The sequence below is a fragment of the Homo sapiens genome, chromosome 1 (genome assembly GCF_000001405.40).
Source record: "Homo sapiens chromosome 1, GRCh38.p14 Primary Assembly".
Lineage (NCBI taxonomy): Eukaryota > Metazoa > Chordata > Mammalia > Primates > Hominidae > Homo > Homo sapiens.
The window spans coordinates 10,540,775-10,554,465 of record NC_000001.11 but is presented as its reverse complement, the minus strand read 5'-3'; the positions used below and the strand labels follow the sequence as shown (position 1 = coordinate 10,554,465).

Genomic DNA, 13,691 nt, shown 5'->3' with positions numbered 1-13,691 from the left:
ATGAGTATCATGGAGTTCAATGACTCTGCGTGTGCTCTGGGATCTCCCAGCAAGTCAGTTAATGTCCTGATCATTTTGGAGTCTGCCCTTTTGGAGTCTGCCCTTTAGGCTTTCTGCCTCAGCTCCACACATTTTGTAAACTTCTCTTTTTTTTTTTTTTTTGAGACGGAGTCTCGCTCTGTCACCCAGGCTGGAGTGCAGTGGTGCGATCTCGGCTCACTACAAGCTCCGCCTCCCAGGTTCACGCCATCCTCCTGCCTCAGCCTCCCAAGTAGCTGGGACTGCAGGTGCCCACCACCATGCCCGGCTAATTTTTTTTTTTTTTTTTTTTTGTATTTTTAGTAGAGACGGGGTTTCACCATGTTAGCCAGGATGGTCTCGATCTCCTGACCTCATGATCCGCCCACCTCGGCCTCCCAAAGGGCTGGGATTACAGGCGTGAGCCACCGCGCCCGGCCCACATTTTGTAAACTTCTGACTCCACTGATTTGTAAGAGTAAAGGTACCACAAAGACCATCTGCTACCAGAAAACCGAGGTGCATGCAAGGTCAGGGAACTAACCGTCATGTCACAGGTGTGCAGGGAAGCCCTGAAAATTGCCGAGGCCAGATCAGCAAACAGGTTGACTGTCACAAGCAGATCAGTGGAAACACATGCAGATATAACAGAGAAGGACAAACTCAGGGAAGAGCAGATGAGGAAACAGATGACAAAGGAGTGAAGAGGAGCTTTCTGGAAGCTGAGTTTTCAGTGGAAGGTGGGAGTAGCGGCCCACTCTGACCATGACCCAAATCAGTGGGACCTTCTCTTCTTGGAGGGAGAAGCAGACTTTACCAGAGGCAGAGTGACAGGCTTACCCCTGAGAAATCATTTCCAGATAAAATAACACTTGCTTCATAAATGCCATCTTCCCTTTCTTCAGAGAGTCTCAAATTTCAGTGAAACCACTTAACAATGTCGGTGTCAAAGAACAAGCTTAACGGTCACCCTGTAGAAGCGACTTTGAAAGGCAGAAGCCAGCGCCACTGCCTGACTGTGGGGCATCCGCCTCTGGCCAACCACTAACCACGTGACAGGGTCCCCCGCACCTCCCTCTGGGCCTTCTCTCTTCACAGCGTCTCTCACTCCTGGTCTACTCTTTCATCTGCTATCCTCCACACCAGCTCCCTAAGCCAAAAATTTGGACAGTGAGCCCAGACTCTTCCCTCTTCTTCACTCTTGCATCCATTCAGCCACCAATTCCCAGGAGATTCTGCTTCCTCACTCTCTAATCCATCCTCTCCATCCCCGTAATAACTGCCCTGGTTCATCCATCATTCCCCTCTCCTAAATGCCCGCCCTACCTTTGAGAGAGCTTTCTAAAACGCTAGCATGAAACTTATTATTCCACATACAACTTTTCCGTGGTTTCCCCACTGTCCACATAACAAAATCCACACTCTTGAGGTAACACATGCCAGGTCTTCCCTGATCCCACCTTTGCCCACCTTTCCAAGCTGTCTCCTCGATCTCTCGCCTTAGTGGCTATGCCCCATCACATCCTCTGCATGGACAAAAGTCACCAATCCGCTTCAGACCTTAAAAACAACTAATCCTCTTGCAGGGCTCGGATAAAGGGGACCTCCTCCATGAATGGAGGCACCTTTTTAACCTCTTCGCCACTAGTTCTCCTCCCCTACCACAAAACTGATCGCTCTCCCCCCAGGCCTCCACTCAGATACCTATTATAGCACCTATAATATTTTATCACCCACACCACATCTGTTTATATATCATGGAACCCCACTAAACTACAAATATTAAATCTTATTTTTGTATTTTTATGTTTAGCACAAATGTTGGCACATGAAGGAAATGGATATTTAATAATTAGTAAATGGATAGATGATTTTTCCAGTGAATCATACTGCCTCTATGTGCTAAACTGGGAACCAACAATTGATACAAACATAGATATAAATATATAGATAACAGGCATGAACAAACTTAGAGTAAATGAATCTAAAAAGCAGATTTTTTTTTTGAGACGGAGTCTTGCCCTGTTGCCCAGGCTGGAGTACAATGGCGTGATCTCAGATCACTGTAAACTCCGCCTCCCAGGTTCAAACGATTCTCCTGCCTCAGCCTCCTGAGTAACTGGGATTACAGGCGTCCGCCACCATGCCCAGCTAATTTTTGTATTTTTAGTAGAGATGGAGTTTCACCACATTGGCCAGGCTGGTCTTGAACTCCTGACCTCGTGATTTGCCCGTCTCGGCCTCCCAAAGTGCTGGTATTACTGGCATGAGCCACCACACCCAGCCCGGAGATAGTTTTTAAATGTTTATGTTTCATCTAAGTATGCAGTATGCAGTATAACTTATTTTTTTTTTGAGACAGAGTCTTGTTCTGTCGCCCAGGCTGGAGTGCAGCAGCACGATCTCAGCTCACTGCAACCTCCACCTCCCGGGTTCAAGAGATTCTCCTGCCTCAGCCTCCTGAGTAGCTGGGACTACAGGTGCCTGCCACCACACCCGGCTAATTTTTGTATTTTTAGTAGAGGCGGGGTTTCACCATGTTGGCCAAGCTGGTCTCGAACTCCACACCTGCCTCAGCCTCCCTAAGTGCTGGGACTGTAAACAGGCATGAGCCACCGTGCCTGGCCATAACTTTCTGATTGTATTTTTGTTAGGCTAACATTAAAATTAGTTTGCATCCCTGATACCAAACTGGTTGGAAGGGAAGTAGAGCTGCAGAAAATTAAAGAAAAATTGGTATAAGATAAAACTTCTACAATGCATCATTCACAAGTGAATAGCGAGAACTAACTACACATGTATATTCTTGGTTCACCACAAAATCCTTTTAAACAAATACCTACCATTTCCCCAAAACAAACAGAGTAATTATGGTAAGGCCTTGTTAGTGTTCAGGCAGTATGCGTGAAATACATTTACTGCCCTGGAGTCACCTCTAAAGAATCTCCAAGCCGAATCCGTGCTGCTGGGATAAAGCTGCCTAATGCACCAGCCTCCAGCGCGCTGTGTAATGACATCCACGCTAATGGAGATGAGCTCGGCTTCATGGAGGTTCGACTCCTGAGAATGGATCTTAAAGGTGAGGCACGGAAGCTCAGGAGAAAGTCGATTTAATTTGTTTAACATTATAAAAAGGGACATTTCCACATGGACAGCAAGGACATGAATATCATGTGTGTATGGCAGAATTATAAACACATTTTTGGCGAAATTCAATAAAGCTGATTCCGCTGCAGAAGGTCAGCAATTTACTATAAAAAATGATATGATTGCAATTTTTAATATAACCCATGTATTTGCTGCAAGATGCTCTAGAAGATTGTGTAATGTAACCATTCGACCTCTCCACAGGAGCAGAGGTCACCCTATGTACCCTTTATTGTCCTGATAAAAGCGTCCATACAGAACAACAAAGTCAACGGCATTTACTTTAGAGCCACACTCAAGCCCAAGACTTCCTCTTCTCACACACAAGAATGGGGCTTAGGATGAAAGCCCTCATGGAAGGCAGCAGGAAAAACTCCAAATTAAATTCACTTCCTATGTAGCAAAATAATTACTGAAATGTATATGAAAAGGTATAGACGAACTAAGTAACCTCTGTAGTCATTCTAGATTTCATTTTCTACAATGTGATTCTTCAAGGGGAGAGCACAGGCGCAGACTACACCCTGAAATTCAACTCAGTGATGACAGAGACCCTGCTCCTCAAATTGGGTGGGCTTCCATATGTCTCATAAGCCCATGTTTACACTTTTTGAGGAAATGACTTAGGTTACCATGAAAATTAAATGGGCAAATGTATGTGTGAATGCTTTTAAGCTGTAAAGCAAAATACACATGCCAGTGGCTATTATACAGTCTGTACCGTATCATCTCAGGCTTGCCTGTAAATTAAAACATCTGTATTACTAGTAGCTTCTACAGCCTCATCACCAAGTTCTCTAAGGGTGTGGACCATTTATGTCCCCAGTGCACTTAGCATAGCACTTGGCAAACAGCAGATGAGGAATGCTTGGTGAACAGAGCTGAACTTGGTCACAGCTGACATGGACAATTCTAGACTGGGAGAATAGAACTTTTATTTTCCATGGTGTCTCCAGATGGAAGCTATAAAATGTCACTCTCATTTTCACTCACTGCTGCAGGAGTTCCTAGATCAAATCAAGCTCCTTTCCTGCCTTGGAGTCTTTGAGAGCTTGCTGTCCTTTCTGCCCGGGATTCTCATTCTTCACAGAACCACTTATCATTCTTCTGGTCTCAGCAACCTTCCCAATGCAAACCTACCCCACCCTCTCCATTATTCTCTCTCACAGCACCTTGCTTATCTGTATTTTGCTTGTTTGTTCATATTTCTGTGGAGTCTGCTTCCACCCCAGGCCTCTGTTTGTTTTATGTAAATGGTAACATTACATCCTCACTCCCAGGGCCAGCACCATGCCTTGTAAGATACATGCACTCAATAAATACTTGTTGGATGGAAAGATGGATGGATGGATGGATGGGTGGTGGATGAATGAATAGTAAAAATCTTTCCAAATAAGGTACTAAGATCTTCCAAAGAACAGTGCTATTTTATGTTATTTCTGTTATTTTCTATTATTTCTGCCTGTTACAGGTTGAGCATCCCTGATCCAAAAATCTGAAATCCAAAATAATCCAAAATCTGAAACGTTTTGAGTGCCAACATGACATTCAAAGGAAATGCTCATTGGAGGATTTTGGAATAGGGATGTTCAACCAACACAATATTCTGCAAATATTCCAAAATCTGAAAAAATCCAAACTGAAACATTTCTGGTCCCAAGCATTTTGGATCGGAGATACTTAACCTTTATTTCTATTTCAGCACTGTGTCTCCTCTTTTCAGGACTGCCTAAAGGAGAGCCTTTGATTGGGAAAAAAAAATGTAAGTAAATATGAGAAATAGACTCAAAGAGGACATCATGGAGCTCCATATTTATTCTCTTTCAATTACATTCTGTGCAAATTATCTTCACGTAAAAGTTACACCGATTTTTCTAGCTGCCTCTTCTTCAAATTCGACCTGTGTTCTTTCGGCCAAGACCCCAAATTTTGCAATTAGAATAATTTAATTCACAATTCCGCGTGTGACTTATAAAGCTGGGGAGAGTATGGCTTTGTTCTTTAGCTTCATAGGTTTACTACTGTCAGTGTTAAAATATTTTTCTTACAGCTTAAAGCCAAAACAGACTGAAAAAGAGTCCCATTCCTATGCACTTTCAGTTTCATTGAAAAGATGACATTTACGTGGTTGTGATATTTAATTTATCACAGAGGGTCATGATTTTTTTTTTCCTGACATACCATGATATAGTAAACTTGAACTTCATGAATGAAAGCCTCTGCAACCATTTAACAATCTGAAAATCCACACAAAATTTAAGACCACCGTATTACTAAAGACAATCTACTCAACAATCTAATTACAGAAAGATTACTTTAAAGGGCTTTAAAACTAAAAAGAATAATTAACAGTAAGAGATTAGAGCATGCCCAAGTCCTCTGTCTGATGAGAGGGGAGAGTTCTGAGGAGATCAGCTCCTATCAGGATGTTGAAGAAACTGAACAGGTATGTTTGAAGTTGGAAAGGAAACATTAGTAGAGTTGTTCAATTCTCAGAACAATTGAAATATAAGTCAGCTTGCCCCATCACTCTGTTTACTGAGGACCATTAGTGAGTTACCTTTACTTCAAAAACGGAAAGAAGACCAAGCTGTGGAATGACCAACCTAGCAAGCCTATCTATAGTTAAAAATAAATTTAAAATAGAAGCACACCATCACATACAAAGATAAGAATACTCCGTATTCATACAATTACAGATACACTAATTCATACACCACCCCCCAACAGATAAACTTAGATTTTTAAAAGACATCAGCTCAAAAGTGTTGAATATAACAATGGATTGGTAAATTAATGAATACTATCCAAAGTTATTTTTAAATCTTTCTAATTACAGTCCAATCAACATAAAATGTTTTTCAGTAGAGATTGCCTTATGTTATACCTTATGTTAAGTTTCAAAAATCCCTGCTTCTAACATTTTCCAACAGTTCCAATAAGCCCGCATATCATGTAGTCCCTTTGGTGGAAACTCTCTTGTCTACCCTTAGCAGATAAATCTCATTAAAAGAACTTCCATCCCTAAGTGAGGCCAGATAAGAAAGAAATTTTTCTTTTTGTTTTGTTTTGTTTGTTTGTTTTGAGACAGAGTCTCACTCTGTCACCCAGGCTGGAGTGCAGTGGCGCGATCTCAGCTCACTGCAACCTCCGCCTCCAGGGTTCAAGCGATTCTCCTGCCTCAGCCTCCCAAGTAGCTGGGATGACAGGCATGCGCCACCACGCCTGGCTAATTTTTTTTATTTTTAGTAGAGACAGGGTTTCACCATGTTGACCAGACCGGTCACGAACTCCTGACCTCAGGTGATCTGCCTGCCTCAGCCTCCCAAAGTGCTGGGATTACAGACGTGAGCCACTGCACCCAGCCAACAAGTTTTCTTAAAATCATCTCGAAAGCCAGTGATGATACAGAATACATCAATATTTATCTCTTGGACAAACTGGAAGTATATCATTACAGTTGCTAACAAAGGCCCAAGTCTTCTAAAAAAATAATAATAGACTAAAAAAGCATAAAAGTATCCTTCTGTCACATATACACAGAAGTCTCCCTTTATCTGTGGTTTTGCTTTTTGCAGTCTCAGTTACCTGAAAATAAGATAATTTGGGAGAGGTGGTGAGTCCATTCACATTACTTTTATGACAGTATATTGTTTTAACTGTTCAATTTTATTATTAGTTAACACTGTTAATCTCTTAGTGTACCTAACTTATAAATTAAACTTTACCAAAGGTATGCAAGCATAAGAAAAACATAGTACATACAGAGTTCGGTACTAGCCGAGGTTTCAGGCATCCACTGGAGGTCTTGGAACGTCTCCTCCGTGGTTAAGGCGGGGACTAACGCACCCATAATTTGCGCCATATTGCACAAAATGCTTCCCTCCATGGCAGCTAGAGTTCTGGATGGGAATTAGGTACCACCAATTAGGTGCACTCATGGACAATTTGGAAAGTGGAAATGAGGCAGAGGACTGCTGTTCTTGCTGCTTTTGATTGCTGCAAATATCAGCAGATGGGCAGGCAGGATATTGGAAACACTGAGGTTTCCTATTGTAATGTCCAGTCTCCAGCTTCATGGGGGTCAAGAGCCAATCTTCACAGAAGTAGAAGCCAAGCCCACATTCCAGTGTCCTGTCGTTGCTTTTCCAGGTGTCACACAACACTTGCAGTGGGGGCAGCAGCAACTTCTTGGTCCCTGGATCACAGCTGCAAGGACATGCACTTGAGCTCCACAGCTCCAGTGACAGCCTCTTGATTCCCCACTGCTTGATCAGGACAGAGGTAGCACCTACCCTGGCAAATTATCTGGCAGTCATTCCTGAAGGCCTAACCTTGGGTCTACCCTCCTAGCCTTTTCACTAAGTGAGTAAGTGCCTAACCATCTGGTTTTTTTGCTGTTGTTGTAGTTGTTCGTTTTTTGTTTTTTTTTGAGATGGAGTCTCACTCTGTCACCCAGGCTGGAGTGCAGTGGCGCAATCTCGGCTCACTGCAACCTCCGCCTCCCGGGTTCACGCCATTCTCCTGCCTCAGCCTCCTGAGCAGCGGGGACTATAGGTGCCCACCACCACGCACGGCTGATTTTTTTTTTTTTTTCTAGTAGAGACAGGTTTTCACGGTGTTGGCCAGGATGGTCTCAATCTCCTGACCTTGTGATCTGCCCACCTTGGCCTCCCAAAGTGCTGGGATTATAGGCGTGAGCCACCGCACCTAGCCTTTTTTTTTTTTTTTTTTTTTGAAACAGAGTCTCGCTCTGTCACCCAGGCTGGAGTGCAATGGCGCAATCTCAGCTCACTGCAACCTCTGCCTCCAGGTTCAGGCAATTCTCCTGCCTCAGCCTCCAAAGTAGCTTGGTTTACAGGTAAGCGTCACCACACCCGGCTAATTTTGTATTTTTAGTAGAGACAGGGTTTCGCCATGTTGGTCAGGCTGGTCTCAAACTCCTGACCTCAAGTCATCCACCTGCCTGGGCCTCCCAAAGTGCTGGGATTACAGGCTTGAGCCACTGCACCCGGCCTAACTGCCTGTATTAAATCCCTCTCTGCTCAAAATTCCTAGAGGTTCCTGATGCACGAATTCTTATGATACAATTACAGCAAACTGACTATAGCCCATTAAGAATATATCTTCTAAGAGAACATATACTATTGATGATTGTTGTCATCAATTAAGCCCTTATTTTGGTGCCAGACACTCTGCTAAGCACTTTCCATATCATTTTCATTTAATTCTACCCCCTCCTCAATCTTTTTTTTTGAGACAGTGTCTTGCTCTGTCACCCAGGCTACAGTGCAGTGGCACAATCATAGCTCCCTGTAAGCTCAAACTCCAAGGCTCAAGCAATCCTCCTGCCTCAGCCTCTCAAGTAGCTGGAACCACAGGCATGCGCCACCACGCCCAGCTAATTTTTAATTTTTTTTGTAGAGACAGGATCTCACTGTGTTGTCTAGGCTGGTCTCAACCCTTCCATCTAAAGCAATCCTTCTGTCTCAGTCTCCCAAAGTGTTGGGATTACAGGCTTGAGCCACCGCACCCAGCCAATTTTCATTTAATTCTTACAAGAATTTTTTGCAGTAAATATTATCATTAATCCCATTTTACAGATAAAGAAACCAATGTACCACGAAGTTAAGTATTTTATGCAGGACCACACAGCTAAAGAGTGGTGAAGCTAGGATTCAAACCCAGATAGTTTATGCACTGTTGCCTCTAAAGCTGAAGTAGTCCAAACATGACCTATTATTTAGTCACTCTTAAGAATATTTCCAAAGTCAAGTGGCTTCATTACTAGAAAATTTGTCACCTTCATCTTCCTATTCTCCAGGCTCAAAATGCTGGTACACTCATACATGACTGGTGAGAATGTAAAATGGTATAACAACTTTCAAAAACAGTTGAGAAGTTTCTTAAAATGTTAAACACACACCTATTATATGATCCAGCCATTCCATCCTAAAGTATGTACCCAAAAGAAATTATATGTCCCTACAAAAACTTATAAATATTGACAGCACCTTTATTTTTAATATCCAAAATCTGAAAACAACCCAAATGTCCATCAACAGGTAGTATAGCCATATAATGGAATAGTATTCAGCAATAAAAAGGAATGAACCACTAGTATATACAACAACATGGCCAAACTTCAAAGTAATTATGCTGAGTGGAAAAGCCAGAACAAAAAAAATTACACACTGTATAATTCCATTTATATAAATTTCTACAAAATGCAAACTAGGGCCAGGCACAGTAGTTTGCACCTGTAATCCCAGCACTTTGGGAGGCCAAGGTGGGCAGATCACTTGAGCCCAGGAGATCGAGACCAGCCTGGGCAACATGGTGAAACCCTATCTCCCCAAAATACAAAAAAAATTAGCCGGGTTTGGTGGCGTGTGCCTGTGGCCCAGCTACCTGGGAGGCTGCGATGGGAGGATCACTTGATCCCGGGGAGGTCAAGGCTGCAGTGAACCGTAATCACGCCACTGCACTCCAGCCTAGGTGACAGAGTAAGATCCTGTCTCAGAAAAAGAAAAAGAAAAAAAAAAAGGCTAATCTATAGTGATAGCAGATCAATGCATACTTGCAAACCAGGATATGGGGGTTGGGGGGACCACAGGAGGAAGGGATTACCAAGGGGTAGGAGGAAACTTTTGGGGATGCTGGGCATGTCCATTATCTTAATTGTGATGATAGTTTCCCAATTATACATATGTCATAACTTTTTAAAACCACACATTAAATATGTGTAGTTTACTGTATGTCAATTACACCTCAATAAAGCTGCTTAACACAAAAAAAGCAACCCTGAGAGTCATCTTCGGCCCATCCCTTTGCCACACACACCCTCCTGAGCATGGCTTACTCTTTCTTCTGCCATGTCTGTGGTTCTGTCCTTCCTCTCCAGAAAGTACGTGGTATAGTTCAAAGAATCTTGGTCAGAAGACATAGATTCTAGTTCTACTTCTGCCATGTATTAGCTCAACTTAGCCTTTCTAAACCTCAATTTCTTCATCTATGTAAAATGGGAGAAAAGAGCCACTCTGAGATTCATTAAATAATGTTTTCATTCATTTAACAAATATTCATTAACCTGCCCACTACATACTAGGGTCACAGCGAAAAAATCAACTAATATTCATTAACCTGCCCACTACATACTAGGGTCATAGTGAAAAAATCAACTATGTGATAGTGTTTTGTAAACTGTAGAACTGTCTACATAAATATGCTGTCATTTCTATTTCCATCTCTACTGCTACCAACCCGGCCCAGATCCCCCACACCTGAAGACGGACTCAGCAGGACCATCTTTGTGGCTGGTCTTATTATTGCCAGGCCAAGTCAGTTTCAATACAGAGCCGAGAGTAAACTTCCTCAAACAGAGTTTCTCTGTGCTCCATGGGCCAGGTGCCGTGGTTCATGTCTGTAATTCCAATGCTTTGGGAAGGCAAGGCAGAAGGATGACTTGAGGCCGAGAGTTTGAGACCAGCCTGGGAAACACAGTGAGACCCTGTCTCTACAAAAAAACTCACCAGGTGTGGTGGCACGTGCCTGTAGTCCCAGCTACTCGGGAGGCTAAGGCAGAAGGATCGCTTGAGCCCAGAAGTTCAAGGCTTCAGTGAGCTATGATCATGCCATTACATTCCAGCCTAGGCAATACTGTTATATAATATTGGGTCCTAACCCCAGCTCCTCCCTCACTTCCTATCTCACCAGCCTCAATTCTCTTCCCTTCTTTTTCCTCACACGCCAATCCAGCGACTGGCACATGCGTCTCTGCCTGAGCCTCCCCTCACTAACGAAGGCCTTCCTGCTCTTTTCTCTCTGTGCCCACTGCCTCCCTCAATGGCTAGGTCAAAACTGAGCAGGCCGGGAGTGGTGGCTCATGCCTGTAATACCAGCACTTTGAGAGGCCGAGACAGGTGAATCATGAGATCAGGAGTTCAAGACCAGCCTGGCCAAGATGGTAAAACCCCATCTCTACCAAAAACTACAAAAATTAGCTGGGTGCGGTGGCAGGCCCCTGTAATCCCAGTTACTCGGGAGGCTGAGGCAGATGAATCGCTTGAACTTGGGAAGCAGAAGCTGCAGTGAGTCGAGATTGTGCCATTGCACTCCACCCTGGGCGACAGAGCGAGACTCCGTCTCAAAACAAAAAAAGAAAGCAAGAATTTTTCACATAACCAGAATGTCCATCCCTTCAAAATCCAAATCTGTGCTAAGTGTTAACCGCAATTTGTTACTCTTTTTCCTCTTATTAACTTCCTTCTACCTATAGTCCATGTTTACCTTAAAAAAGTTTTATCTTCTTTACTATGAAACATAATCCCATGAAATTTAAGCAAGAAAAATATCCCCTATCCTGCTTACCATATGCAAAAATGCTCTGACTTCAGCATGGTGCCAAACCAACACGCGTTCAACAATGTATACGACAAGAATATTCATTGGGCCATTGCTTGAGACAGCAGAAGATAGGAATCAACCTAAATGCTCACAAATTTGGGGCTAATTTTTTGTTTGTTTTTGTTTCTATTTTTGAGATGGAGTCTTGCTCTGTCACCCAGGCTGGAGTGCGGTGACACGATCTCGGCTCACTGCAACCTTTGTCTCCCGGGTTAAAGCGATTCTCCTGCCTCAGCCTCGCGAGTAGCTGGGACTACAGGCGCATACCACCACGCCGAGCTAATTTTTTGTATTTTTAGTAGAGACGGGGTTTCACCGTGTTAGCTAGGATGGTCTCAATTTTCTGACCTCGTGATCCTCCCGCCTCTGCCTCCCGAAGTGCTGGGATTATAGGCGTGAGCCACCGCGCCCAGCCGGGACTAGTTTTTAAAAGGATAACACATGCATATAATGGAATATTATGCAGCCACTGAAAAGAATGAAGCAAGTCAGTATGTATCGATGTGGAATGACTGCCGAGATATAACACCAAGTATACGAGTAAAGTGTAAAATATGCTACCACTGTATTTAGAAAGCATTCGTGTTTCTGTGGGGGAGTAATACATATTAACATGCTTTCATGTGGATAGATTATCTCTGGAATGATACATAAGAAACTGTAGCATCCTCTGCAAAAGAGAACGGGTGGGGAACAGGAATGAGAGAATGAGAAGAGAAGACTTATTTTTTACTGTATACCCTTCTCTACTGTTTGAATTTTTAAGACCATGTATATGCCTTACCTTTTCAAAAAGTAAAAAAAATTTTTTTTTACTAATACATGCCAATGTCATTTTGTCACTTTCCTTTTCATTGCAGTATTGTTACAGGCACGCAAGTTTAAGAAAAGAATCAGTCTTCAGTTGCAGGGAAAACATAAAAGTAACTGGGTAAATCTGAAAGTGTTCCCTCCCCGCAAACTCCTCTGCACTATTTCCCCATCGCAGGGTGAAGTGGAGGAAACCCCTCAGCTCAGCCTTCTTGGGGCAGCAAGTGCTATCAGCTCCCGCTCTGAATGGGGAAGCCAGGGCATCTCTGTTTCTACAACATTCGGCTGGCCTAGCTGCCGTAGGTCTCGTCCTGGATGCCGAGAAAAATCTGTGGAGTTCAAGGCAAGTTTGGATAACAGGGGGAGCGGGAAAATTGATGCGGGGGACCAGTCGGTGTGATGAATAGGCTGGGCCAGAACAGCAGGTGACGAATATGCAGGTGCAAGACTGGCAGGGAAGGAAGACGGTCCGTTCACAACAGATGGATGGAGATGCTCAATCATCCTCAGGAACAAGCGCGGCTGCCACACAGCCCTGCCTGCTCCGCACGAGCAGCTCCTCGCTCACCTGCAGGGCACGGCCCCGCCCCCAGAGGCTCTGCACTGGACCCACACTAGGGCAGGGCTACGGGAGAAAGAGCAGGAAGTGGGTGCGGAAGATGCCACGCTGCTGCAGGCGGGCCTCTCCGGGACTCACTGCCAGTGGACTCTTCTCATTTTGCCTTCTTCCTCCAGGTTCCAAAACCAAACCCGTTTTGTCTCCCCTGGTAGCTCTCACTCCTGAGAAAGGCTTTTACCGCTAAGGTGACCTGTTTGTCTAGGACCACGGGGCTGTCCACAACATGGGAACTTCAGGGTTGAACCCAGGGCAATTCTGGGCAAACCAGAACCCTTGGTTGTCACCCTACATTTTGCCCACTGTCCTCTCTTATTTCTCTTCCTCTTCAGTCAGTGAGAGAACCCAGATCGGCCTATTTGGTTCACACTTATGACTGAGTCGAATCCGTGTCGGGCATTTGTTTCCTCTGGTCGTCTATAACGAACAGAAAGGTAAGAATCAATAAGACATTCAACTCCTGTCTTTTCTCAGAATGGGGACCTCTTTAAAAAATGTCCAGGATATACTGGCTTCAATGACTCCAACAAACAGAGGAATGAATCTAAATCTTGATGCCACAATCCATGTCTCGTTAACAAAAAATCAGAAGGGCCAGACAGCCCCTCACAGAGCCAATTGTATTCCTTCCAGCTCAGCCGCAGGAGTTTCTGAGGATGAGGAAATGGGCCACACGCAAGCAAGGGGTGGGAGC

General features: G+C 43.9%; 1 protein-coding gene across 10 annotated transcripts in view, besides 1 other annotated feature; it reads right to left on the bottom strand.

The window, feature by feature from the left end:
• The window catches only part of PEX14 (peroxisomal biogenesis factor 14), a 155,809-nt gene that overhangs the window by 76,293 nt on the left and 65,825 nt on the right, over nt 1–13,691 (bottom strand). The gene's annotated exons all lie outside the window — the stretch shown is intronic.
• Nucleotides 12,975–13,518: an enhancer, noted in NCBI's record as "H3K4me1 hESC enhancer chr1:10601005-10601548 (GRCh37/hg19 assembly coordinates)". NCBI's record gives its function as "activates a minimal SCP1, AML or CMV promoter by ChIP-STARR-seq in naive H9 embryonic stem cells {active_cell/tissue: H9 hESC(naive)}" and the evidence as "EXISTENCE:reporter gene assay evidence [ECO:0000049][PMID:30033119]".